This window comes from Homo sapiens, chromosome 19 (genome assembly GCF_000001405.40).
Source record: "Homo sapiens chromosome 19, GRCh38.p14 Primary Assembly".
NCBI lineage: Eukaryota > Metazoa > Chordata > Mammalia > Primates > Hominidae > Homo > Homo sapiens.
The window spans coordinates 7,714,805-7,727,815 of NC_000019.10; the positions used below are offsets into that span (position 1 = coordinate 7,714,805).

At 48.8% G+C, this 13,011-nt stretch overlaps 2 annotated features.

The window, feature by feature from the left end:
* Nucleotides 4,260-4,349: an enhancer, noted in NCBI's record as "active region_13899". NCBI's record gives its function as "activates an Ori minimal core promoter by ATAC-STARR-seq in GM12878 lymphoblastoid cells {active_cell/tissue: GM12878}" and the evidence as "EXISTENCE:reporter gene assay evidence [ECO:0000049][PMID:35858748]".
* Nucleotides 6,225-6,724: an enhancer, noted in NCBI's record as "H3K4me1 hESC enhancer chr19:7785915-7786414 (GRCh37/hg19 assembly coordinates)". NCBI's record gives its function as "activates a minimal SCP1, AML or CMV promoter by ChIP-STARR-seq in naive H9 embryonic stem cells {active_cell/tissue: H9 hESC(naive)}" and the evidence as "EXISTENCE:reporter gene assay evidence [ECO:0000049][PMID:30033119]".

The following is a 13,011-nucleotide window of genomic DNA, read 5'->3' on the forward strand; positions in this document are numbered from 1 at the left end:
AACAAAAACTGAAACTTTACCGATTAAACGACGACTACCCATCGCCGCGTGCCCCAGCCCCTGGCACCCCCCGTTCGACTTTTTGTGTCTATGAGTGAGTTGACTCTGGGGACCTCCTATGAGTGGAATAATGTGGAATCATACCATATTTGTCTTTTTGTGCCTGGCTGGCTTATTTCACTTAGCATAACTGCCTGTGTCAGAATTTCCTTCCTTTTTTTTTTTTTTTTTTTTTTGAGATGGAGTCTCGCTCTGTCACCCAGGCTGGAGTACAGTGGCACAGTCTCTGCTCACTGCAACCTCCACCTCCCGGGTTCAAGCAATTCTTCTGCCTCAGCCTCCCAAGTAGCTGGGACTACAGGTGTGCACCACCACACCCAGCTAATTTTTGTATTTTTAGTAGAGACGGGGTTTCACCATGTTGGCCAGGCTGGTCTCAAACTCCTGACCTCAAATGATCCACCAGCTCAGCCTCCCAAAATGCTGGGATTACAGGCGTGAGCCACCACGTCTGGCCCACAATTTCCTTCCTTTTTAGGGCTGAATTATATTCTATCGTATGGATGGAGCACATTCCACTTATCCATTGATCTGTTTATGGACACCTAGGTTGCTTCAATCTTTTTTTTTTTTAACGGAGTCTTCCTCTATCACCCAGGCTGGAGTGCAGTGTCGTGATCTTGGCTCACTGCAACCTCCACCTCCTGGGTTCAGGTGATTCTCCTGCCTCAGCCTCCTGAGTAGCTGGGATTACAGGCACGCACCACCACGCCCGGCTAATTTTGTATTTTTAGTAGAGACGGGATTTCCCCATGTTGTCCAGGCCAGTCTCGAACTCCTGACCTCAAGTGATCCGCCTGCCTCGGCCTCCCAAAGTGCTGGGATTACAGGCGAGAGCCACCACATCTGACCTGCTTCAATCTTTTGACTATTGTAAATAATACTGCTATGAACATGAGTGTACAAATATTTCTTTGAGACCCTGCTTTCAGTTCTTTTGGCCACACACCCAGAAATGGAATTCCTGGGCCATATGGCAATTCTATTTATAATTTATTTGAGGAACTGCCAGAAGCTTTTTCCACAGTGGCTGTACCATTTTACATTCCCACCAATAGTGCACAATTTTGTCACATTCTCACCAGTACTTTCATGTTCTGTAATTTTTTTGATGGCAGCCATCCTAATGATTATAATAAATGGGTGCATCTTATTGTATATAAATTACATCATGGCTGGGCATGGTGGCTCACACCTGTAATCCCAACACTTTGGACAACAAGGCAGGTAGATCACCTGAGGTCAGGAGTTGAGACTAGCCTTGCTGACATGGTGAAACCCCATCTCTACTAAAAATGCAAAAATTAGCTGGGCGTGGCAGTGAGCCCCTGTAATCCCAGCTAGTCGGGAGACTGAGGTGGAAGAATTGCTTGAACCCGGGAGGCAGAGGTTGCAGTGAGCCAAGGTCGCACCACTGCACTCCAGCCTAGGTGACAGAGTGAGACCTCATCTCAAAAAAAAAAAAAAAGAAAGAAAAAGAAAAGAAAAGAATATTTATACCTGGGTCAAGTGAAAATTAGACAAAGAGAGACATATGGCCACCCTAGATAAGGTAAGTTACCTGTGTGTATTTTTAGGCAAGGAGAGAGTTACAGTTATATCTTAGGTGGTAACATCTTACGGGTGTTAAAGGTTTATTGCAGGTGTTTCCAGTGGTTTTTCTTGAGTTGAGTTACTTCCATCAAGGTGTACAGGTACTTACAGACCTATTAGGGCATGCTATGAAATAGTCACAAGTGGTTACTGTTGTGATATGGGTGAGCTCCAGCTAAGCTTTTGTATTAGTCAGCTACTGCTGCAGTTAACAAATTATCTCAAATTTAGTGACTTCAGACAATGCAAACTTATTATCTCACTGTTCTGAAGATCAGAAGTCTGACACTGATCCCATTGGACTTATATTAAGATGATGGCAGGGTTGCATCCTTCTGGGGGAGAATTCATTTCCTTGCCTTACATAACTTCTAGAAATGGCTGCTATGGTTTGAAAGTTTGTGTCTTTTCAGAATTCATGTGTTGAAACCTAACCTCCAAGATGACGGTATTAGAAGGTGGAGGCTTTAGGGGGTGACTAGGTCATGAGGGTGGGGCCCTCATGCATGGAATTAGTGCCCTCATCAATCATCAGAGACTTACTTGCCCTTTCTACCATGTGAAGACATGGCAAGAACATGGCCATCTGTGAACCAGGAAAAGAGCCCTCACAAGACAGAGTCTGCCAACATGTTGGTTTTGGACTTCCCAGCCTCCAGAATTGTGAGCCAAAAATGTGTGGTTGTTTAGAAGCAACTCAGTTTATGGTGTTTTGTTATAGCAGCCTGAACAGACTGAAACAGCCACTGATGTCCTTGGCTCTTGGTCCTTTTCTCCTTTTTTTTTTTTTTTTTTTTTGAGATGGAGTTTTGCTCTTGTTGCCCAGGCTGGATTGCAATGGCGTGATCTCGGCTCACCACAACCTCCACCTCCTGGGTTCAAGCAATTCTCCTGCCTCAGCCTCCCAAGTAGCTGGGATTACAGGCATGTGCCAGCATGCCTGGTTAATTTTGTACTTTTAGTAGAGACGGGGTTTTTCCATGTTTGTCAGGCTGGTCTCAAACTCCTGACCTCAGGTGATCTACCCGCCTTGGCCTCCCAAAGTGCTGGGATTACAGGTGTGAGCCACCGTGCCTGTCCCCCCCTTTTTTTTTTTTTTTTTTTGAGACAGGATCTCAGTGGGTTGCCCAGGCTAGAATGCAGTGGTGCAATCATAGCTCACTGCAGCCTCCAGCTCCTAGGCTCAAGTGATCCTCCCACCTCAGCCTCCTGAGTAGCTGGGACCACAGTCATGTGCCACGATGTCCAGCTAAGTTTTCAAATTGTTTTTGTGAAGATTAGGTCTCCCTATATTGCCCAGGCTAGTCTTGAACTCATGGGTCCTAGAGATCCTCCCACCTTGGCGTCCCCAAGTTCTAGGATTGCAGTGGCATAATCTTGGCTCACTGCAACTTCTGCCTCCCAGATTCAAGCCATTCTCCTGCCTCAGCCTCCCAAGTAGATGGGATTACAAGCATGCACCACCACGCCCAGCTAACTTTTTGTATTTTTAGTAGAGACAGGGTTTTGCCATGTTGGCCAGTCTGATCTCAAACTCCTGACCTCAGGTGATCTGCCCACTTCAGCCTCCCAAAGTGCGAGGATTACAGGCATGAGCCACTGCACCTGGCCCCCTTCCTCCATCTTTAAAGCCAGCAATGGTGAGTGGAGCCCTCACATCACAGCACTCTGCCCCTTCTGAAGGCCTTCTGCCTCTCTGATTTTCTCCTGCCTCTCTCATTCACTTTTAAGGACACCTGTCATTACTTCAGGCCCACCTAGATAACCTAAAATAAACTCTCCCATTTTAGGAGTCTTTTTTTTTTTTTAAATTTTTTGAGAGGGAGTCTGGTTCTGTTGCCCAGGCTGGAGTGCAGTGGCGCTATCTCGGCTCACTGCAACCTTCACCTCCCGGGTTCAAGCGATTCTCCTGCCTCAGCCTCCCGAGTAGCTGGGATTACAGGCATGTGCCACCATGCCTGGCTAATTTCTGTATTTTTAGTAGAGACGGGGTTTCACCATGTTGGCCAGGCTGGTCTCGAACTCCTGACCTCAAGTGATCTGCCTGCCTTGGCCTCCCAAAGTGCTGGGATTACAGGCATGAGCCACGGCGCCCAGCCAGGACTCTTACTTTAATCACATGTGCAAAATCCCTTCGTGATACCTACCTAAGGTATGACATATTCACAGATTTGGGGATTGGCACAGGGACATCTTTGGGGAAGGCATTTTTTTGCCTACTACAGACCTTGCACGGTGTTCTATGCAATTGGTGTTGCGCCCCAGGGTTGTTACAGGTGTATTTCAGGTCTTACAGGGGCTTCTCAGAGCCCCTGGGAACTCCAGGAAAGTGGATCTGTCTTGAGAATGCTGACGGGGCTCAGCCTGGGTCTGGCGTCGGTCCCATCAGGCTCTGGGGAAATGTCACACGGTTTGTCAGGCACAGGCCACTTCCTGCACCCCCATCAGCCCTTTTTTTTTTTTTTTGAAATGGGGTTGTGCTCTGTTACCCAGGTTGGAGTGCAGTGGCGTGACCTCAGCTCACTGCAACCTCCACCTCCCAGGTTCAAGTGATCCTCCCACCTCAGCCTTCTGAGTAGCTGAGACCACAGGCACATGCTACCACACCCGGCTAATTTTTTGTATTTTTGATAGGGACGGGATTTCACCATGTTGTCCAGGCTGGTTGAAAACTCCTGACTCAGGCAATCAATCCACCTGTCTCAGCCTCCCAAGGTGCTAGGATTACAGGCGTGAGCCACCGCACCTAGCCTGTTTTTTGTTTTATTTTATTTTGTTTTGTTTGTTTGTTTGCTTGTTTTTTGAAGTAGAGACAGGATCCTGTTATGTCACCCAGGGTGGACTGCTGCAGTGACGTGATCATAGCTCATTGTAACCTTGAACTCCTGGGCTCAAGCCTCTTGCCTCAGCCTCCTGAGTAGATAGGACTACAGGCATGTACCACCATGCCCAGCTCATTTAATTTAAAATTTTCTTTTTATAGAGATGGGGGTCTCACTATGTTACCCAGGCTGGGCTTAAACTCCTAGTCTCAAATGATCCTCGCACTTCAGCTTCCCAAAGTGCTGGGATTACAGGCGTGAGCCATCACACTCAGCCACCTGTCAGCCTTTAGAATAGTCTTTCTGGCACCACCAATATTCCAGGAAAACAAAAGCCAACTGAAGGTTAAGGTCTGTTCCAGAAATAGGGATAGGCTCCAGGGATTCCTTTCTTCCCAGAGAAGTTGAATCTTGGAGTGGAGGGTGTGGCCTGGGGCCTGGGACCTGACTCTCTCATTTGGGGTCATTATGGGCCTTCTGGAACACTGGTGGGTTACAGCCAGGCGACTGGGAGGTAGGGCTTGTGAGCTGATCATAAATGCAGATGGCAGGTGGCGAGGAGAGGACGGACATATCCAGGCCAGCCACTTGGCTCTCTGGGCTCCTGACCTGGAGCTCCCTTGGGCCCTGCTGCCCCCAGAATCTGAGCCTGGGGGTACCAGGGGCTCCAGGGCATGCTCTGGCCATGGATAGGATCCCAGGGCAGTTCCAATTTAACTCTGCTGTCTGGGGTCTCTGCCAGACTGGTGTGCGGTGGTACAATCATAGCTCACTGTAGCCTGGAATTCCTGGGCTCAAGCAATCCTTCTGCTTCAGCCTTCCAAGTACAGGAGAATACAGGTGTGCACCACCATGCCCAGCCTTTTATTTTTATTTTATTTTATTTTATTTTATGTTATGTTGAGACAGAGTCCCTCTCTGTTTTCCAGGCTGGAGTGTAGTGACACAATCTCGGCTCACTGCAACCTCTGCCTCCTGGGTGTAAGCGATTCTCCTGCCTTAGCCTCCCGAGTAGCTGAGATTACAGGCACCCACCATCATGCCCGGCTAAGTTTTGTATTTTTAGTAGAGACAGGGTTTCACCATGTTGGCCAGGCTGGTCTTGAACTCCTGACCTCTGGTGATCTGCCCACTTCGGCCTCCCTAAGTGCTGGGATTACAGGCGTGAGCCACTGCGCCCAGCCTATTTTTTAAGTAGAGATGAGGTCTTGGTATGTTGCCCCAGGCTGATCTCAAACTCCTGGACTCAAGTGACCTTCCCACCTCCACCTCCCAAAGTGCTGGGAGTGTTTACGGAAATACCAGGGGTTTGGTCTAGGTCCTGCTGTTCACCGCACAGATAGCCAATCACCGAGGCAAGGATTATTGCCAAGCAAGAAGGCTTTAGGCTTTAATTGGATGCTGCAACCAAGGAGATGGGAGCTCAGTCTCAAATCCATCTCTCTGGCTGATTAAAATTAGGGGTTTATATAGCAGGGGAGAAATAGAACAATATGTGGTAAAACAGGAACGCGGGAGGGGTCAGGAAGCAATTGTGATGAATGAGCAGCCTGGTGTCTCATCGTCTGCATGTAATGATCTGCTGAGTTTCAACTCTGATGATTTTTGAGAGCCTGGGGATCCTTTCCTGAGAAGGAACTCAGATAAAACAAATTTTTTTGGTTTGTTTATTTGAGACAGAGTTTCACTCTTGTTGCCCAGGATGGAGCACAGTGGCGCGATCTTGGCTCACTGCAACCTCCTCCTCCCTGGTTCAAGCGATTCTCCTGCCTCAGCCTCCTGAGTACCTGGGATTACAGGCGCCCGCCACCATGCCTGGCTAATTTTTCGTATTTTTAGTAGAGACAGGGTTTTGCCAAGTTGGCCAGAGTGGTCTCGAACTCCTGAGCTCAAGTGATTCATCCGCCTCAGCCTCCTAAAGTGCTGGGATTGCAGGCGTGAGCCACCGCGCCTGGCCAGATAAAACTAATGCTAAATTTCAAGCTTTAAGACCACAGGGTCAGGCCGGGCACGGTGGCTCACACCTGTAATCCCAGCACTTTGGGAGGTCGAGGTGGGTGGATCACTGGAGGTCAGGAGTTTGAGACCACCTTGGCCAACATGGTGAAACCCTGTCTCTACTAAAAATACAAAAATTAGCTGGGCGTGGTGGCGCATGCCTATAGTCCCAGCTACTCGGGAGGCTGAGGCAGGAGAATGGCGTGAACCCAGGAGGTGGAGCTTGCAGTGAGCCGAGATTGCGCCACTGCATTCCAGCCTGGGCAACAGAGCGAGACTCCGTCTCAAAAAAAAAAAAAAGACCACAGGGTCAATTTCTATGTTTATTGAAAAGAACTGTCTATGGCAACAATCCCTAACCTTTTTGGCACCAGGGACCGGTTTTGGAGAAGACAATTTTTCTTTTTCTTTTTTTTTTAGAGACAGAGTCTTGCTCTGTTGCCCAGGCTGGAGTGCAGTGTCGTGATCTCGGCTCAATGCAACTGCCGCCTCCCAGATTCAAGCCATTCTCCCACCTGAGCCTCCCGAATAGCTGGGATTACAGGTGCACACCACCATGCCCAGCTAATTCTTGTATTTTTAGTAGAGACGGCGTTTCACCATGTTGGCTGGGCTGGTCTCAAACTCCTGACCTCCGGTGATCTGCCCACCTCAGCCTCCCAAAGTGCTGAGATTACAGGCATGAGCCACTGCACCCAGCAGACAACTTTTCCACAGACTGGGGTGGGGGATGGTTTCAGGATGATTCAACTGCGTGACATTTATTGTGCACTTTATTTCTATAATTATTACATTTTAATATGTAATGAAATAATTATGCCACTCTGCATAATGCAGAATCAGTGGGAACTCTGAGCTTGTTTTCCCGCAACTAAGACAGTCCCATCTGGGGGTGATGGGAGACAGTGAGAGATCATCAGTCATTCGATTATCCTATGACCCAGATCCCTCGATGTGCAGTTCACAATAGGCTTCATGCTCCTGTGAGAGTCTAATACCACTGCTAATCTGACAGGAGGCAGAGGTCAGGTGGTCATGCAAGCAAAGGAGAGTGGCTGTAAACACAGATGAGCTTTGCTTGCTCACCTGCTGCTAACCTCCTGCTGTGTGGCCTGGCTCCTAACAGGGCACAGATCAGTACCGGTCTGCGGCCTGGGGGATGAGGACCCCTGTTCTATGAGACTGTTGGGTGGGTTTCAGGATGACAGGTGCACACCACTGCACTCAGCCTCTCTTCCTTCTGCCTCAGCCACAGCTGGCACTTTCTCAGCTCCATCCTCAGGGGAGATGCTGAAACCTCTTGTGCCTGCCCGTGCTGTTGCTGTACATTTGTCACGACAGCCTGGCAGGGGCTCCCCATTGAGGCTGTCGGTCAGACTTGAAGTCCATCTGTTGTTCTTTTAAAAAAAAATTTTTTTTTAGATGGAGTTTCACTCTGTTACCCAGACTGGAGTGCAGTGGCGTGATCTCAGCTCACTGCAACCTCCACCTTCCGGGATCAAGTGATTCTCCTGCCTCAGCCTCCTGAGTAGCTGGGATTACAGGCACCCACAACCATGCCTGGCTAATTTTTTTGTATTTTTAATAGAGATGGGGTTTTGCCATGTTAGCCAGGCTAGTCTCAAACTCCTGACCTCAGGTGATCCACCCACCACAGCCTCCCAAAGTGCCGGGATTACAGGTGTGAGCCACCACACCCAGCCATGAAGTCCGTCTGTCGTTCTGTCTCTGTTGTTCTTCATTCGATCCGGAGTCGCCACCTCATTGTCAGTATGTTTGATTACAATCTGTCTGTATCATCCAGACAATCACTTAATCTGGCTCATCAAGTAGTTAGACCTCTAGGTAAGTATCTCACTGCTGTCCCACCTGGGAGTCTATCTCAGATGGCTCTGCCCTGTGCTGTGATGCTATGATGGTTAACACCTGGTGTCAACTTGACCGGATGGAGGGAGATGCCTGGATGGCTGGTGAAGCATTGTTTCTGGGTGTGTCTGTGAGGATGTTATCAGAGGAGGTTGATATTTGAGTCCGTGGGCTGGGAGAGGAAGACCCATCCTCAATGTGAGTGGGCACCATCCCATCGGCCGCCAGCGTGGCTAGAACAAAGCAGGTGGAAGAAGGCGGGAGAAGCTGGCTTGCTCGCTGAGTCAGCTCCCTCTCTCTTCCCCTGCTGTGCCAATCACTTGGTTTCCTCTCCTCCTACCCTTGGACATCAGGCTCTAGGTTCTTTGGCCTTTGAACTCTGGCACTTGCACCAGTGGCCTCCCAGGTGTTCTCGGGCCTTTGGCTGCAGACTGAAGGTTGCACTGTCTCCTTCCATGATTTTTGAGGCTTTTGGACTTGGACTGAGCCACACTACCACTTTCTGTCTTTCCCGGGCTTGCAGACAGCCTACTATGGGACTTCGCCTTATAATTGTGTGAGCTAATTCTCCCAAATAAACTCCCTTTAATATTGTGTTAGGCTGTTCTTTTTTTTTTTTTTTCCTCAAGATGGTGTCTCATTCTGTCACCCAAGCTGGAGTGCAATGGTGTGATCTCAGCTCAGTGCAACCTCCACCTCCCAGGTTCAAGTGATTCTCCTGCCTCAGCCTCCCAAGTAGCTGGGATTACAGGCACCCGCCACCACACCTGGCTAATTTTTGTATTTTTAGTAGAAATGGGGTTTCAACATATTGGCCAGGCTGGTCTCGAACTCCTGACCTCAAGTGATCTGCCCGCCACGGCCTCCCAAAGTGCTGGGATTACAGGCGTGAGCCACCACACCCAGCTGTGTTAGGCCATTCTTGCATTGCTATAAAGAGATACCTGAGACTGGGTAATTTAGAAGAAAAGAGGTTTAATTGGCTCATGATTCTACAGGCTGTCCAGGAAGCATAGCAGAGATATCTGCTTCTGGAGGGGCCTCAGGAAGCTTCCAATCATGGCAGAAGACAAAGGCGAAGCAGGTGTCTCACATGGCGAAAGCAGGAGCAAGAGACAGCGTGGCAGGGGAGGTATCACACACTTTTGAACAACCAGATTTTATGTGAACTTTGAGTGAGAGCTCACTTATCACCATGGGGATGGTCCAAGCCATTCACGAAGAATCTGCCCCTATGATGCAAAACACTTCCCACCAGCCCCCACCTCCAGCACTGGGGATACATTTCAACATGAGATTTGGGTGGGGACAAATATCCTAACTATATCTCACACACACACACACACACACACACACACACGCATATCCTATCAGTTCAGTCCTGGACAACCCTGGCTAACACAGATTTGTGATGACCTGCAATATACCATGTCCTCATCCCTGGATCCTGTGAACATCACTTTATATGGCAAAAGACACTTTGCAGACGTGATGATGGATTTCAAGATGGGAGGAGCTCGTGTGGTAAAGAATTTGTCCCTGGTTCCTGCTAGGAAGTGTCTAAGTCCTTGGAATTTTCCAAGTGCTGTGAGTCTTTGTTATTCATCAGGGCCCTGGACCACACTTGGGTTTATATGAGGGGGTGGCTTAGGATGGGTGCTGGTCATGCCAGATACATCAACCATGAGGGTTGGAATTTGCAGCCACTTGACCAAAAGGGGGACTGGAGATAAAGTTCAATCACAAGGCCAACGATTCAGTCAATCTTTCCTGTGTAATGAGACCCCACTAAAAACTCCCGAGGCCTTGTGAGGTGGCTCATGCCTGTAATCCCAGCACTTTGGGAGGCCAAGGCAGGAGGATCACTTGAGCTCAGGAGCTCAAGACCAACCTGAACAATATGGTGAAACCCCGTCTCTACAAAAAATACAAACATTAGCTGGACAGGGTGGTGACATGTGCCTGTAGTTCCAGCTACTCGAGAGGCTGAGAGGTGGGAGGATCACTTGAGCCCAGAAGGTTGAGGCTGCAGTGAGCTATGATTATGCCACTGCACTCCAGCCTGGGCAACAGGGCAAGACCGGGTCTCAAAAAAAAAAAACAAACAAAACTGAAACACTGAAGGAGTAATTGGATCAATCCTGCCTACATACTGAAACCCCAAAAAAACTCAGGACACCGAGCTCTGGAGCTTCCTGGCTGGTGAACCCATCACCCTGAGAGTGGGGAAGGCATAGAGAGAGTGATGTGTGCTGACGTTATGGGGAAGGACACAGGAGCTCCGTGTTTGGGACCTTCCCAGACCTCACCCTATGTATCTTCTCATTTGGCAGGTCCTGATTTGTATTTTGTTAAGAAAACTGAAATCAGGGCCAGGCACAGTGGCTCATGCCTGTAATCCCAGCACTTTGGGAGGCCAAGGCGGGTGGATCACCAGATCAAAAGAGTGAGACTATCCTGGCTAACATGGTGAAACCCCATCTCTACTAAAAATATAAAAATTAGCCAGGCATGGTGGTGGCGGGCGCCTGTAGTCCCAGCTACTTGGGAGGCTGAGGCAGGAGAATTGCTTGAACCCGGGAGGCAGAGGTTGCAGTGAGCTGAGGTCGCACCGCTGCACTCCAGCCTGGGCGAAAGAGCGAGACACTGTCTCAAAAAACAAACAAAAAAACAAAACAAAACAAAGAACAAAACAAAACAAAAAACAAACTGAAATCGTAAGCATAGCATTTCCTAAGTTCTGGGAGTCATTCTAGTGAATTATGGAACCTGAAGGGGTCATGAGAATTTGTAGGCAGTTGATCAGAAATGTGGGTGGCTGGGGATCCCCAAACTTGTAGCTGGTATCTGAAATGAGAGCAGTCTTGATGGGGACTGTGTCCTTAACCTCTGGGTGGAGTCTGCACTATCTGGGTGAATAGTGGCAGAACTGCATTTAGAATTACAGGAGGCCAGGAGCAGTGGCTCATGCCTGTAATCCCAGTGCTTTGGGAGGCCAAGGTAGGCGAATCACTTGAGCTCAGGAGTTTGAGACCAGCCTGGGCAGCATAATGAGACCGCTTCTCTACAAAAAAATAAAAAAAATTAGCCAGGCATGGTGGCACACGCCTGTAGTCCCAGCTACTCAGGAGGTTGAGGCAGGAGGATTGTTTGAGCCTGGAGGATTGCTTGAACTTGAACCTGGGAAGTCAAGGCTGCCGTGAGCCATGTTCATGCTACCGCACTCCAGCCCAGGTGACAAAGCGAGATCCTGCCTCAAAAAGAAAATTAAAAAAAAAAAAAAAAAAAGGAACCACAGGAGATCATCCTGTACTATCAGGTCAGGCCCTAAATGCAATCCCAACTGTTCATATAAGAAGGAGGCAAGACCAGCCTGGGCAGCATAGTGACACCCCATCTCTACAAAAAAACTAACAAATAGCTGGGTGTGGTGGTGCATGCCTGTAGTCCCAGCTACTTGGGAGGCTGAGGCAGGAGGATTTCTTGAGCCCAGGAGGTTGAGGCTGCAGTGAACTATGATCGTGCTATTACACTCCAGCCTGGGTGACAGAGCAAGACCCTGTCTCAAAAAAAGGTGATTGTGGGGGCATTCCTAGAGAGATTTGATACAGAAGAAGTAATTGTCATGGCTGAAGCTAGATGCTACCCTACTGCCTTTGAAGATGGAAGAAGGGTCCAGGAGTCAAGAAGGATGAGGACAACAGCTCTAGAAAAGCTAAAGAAGAGGTAAAGAAACATTTTCCCTTTGATATGGTTTGGCTGTGTCCGCCTCCCCAAATCTCACCTTGAATTGTAATAATCCCTGTGGATCAAGGGTGGGGCCAGGTGGAGATAATTGAATCACGGGGGCAGTTTTCCCCATACTGTTCTTGTGGTGGTGTATGAGTCTCTCAAGATCTGATGGTTTTATTTTTTAATTTTTTAATTTTTTTTTTTGAGATGAACTCTTGCTCTGTCACCCAGGCTAGAGTGCAATGGCATGACCTTCGGCTCACTGCAACCTCTGCCTCCTGGGCTCAAGCAGTTCTCCTGCCTCAGCCTCCCGAGTAGCTGGGATTACAGGCGCCTGCCACCACGACCAGCTAATTTTTGTATTTTTAGTAGAGATGGGGTTTCACCATATTGGCCAGGCTGGTCTCTTGGCCAGGCTGGTCCCGAACTCCTGACCTCGTGATCCATCCGCCTTGGCCTCCCAAAGTGCTGGGATTACAAGCGTGAGCCACCATGCCCAGCCTCAAGATCTGATGGTTTTATAAATGAGAGTTCCCCTGCGCAAGTTATCTTGCCTGCCACCATGTAAGACATGCCTTTGCTCTTCCTTTCCTTTCTGCCATGATTGTGAGGCCTCCCCAGCCATGTGGAACTGCGAGTCCATTAAACCTCTTCCCTTTATAACTTACCCAGTATCAGGTATGTCTTTATTAGCAGCATGAGAACGGATTAATACATCCTTAGACCTTGGTTTTTGCCCAGCAAAATCCATTACAGTAGTGGTGGGAAACTCAAACACTCCTCCAAGCCAACTGTGTCTGGAAGTCCAGCAGCCTGGCCCTCAGTCCAGTAGGCAAGTCAATAGGCTCCTGGACTTGCCCAGTGCCTGCTCCAGACTGCAAGTTTAGAAAGATCAGAGGATAGGGGGGTTGACAGGTTACAGCAGTGGAAGAGTTCCACC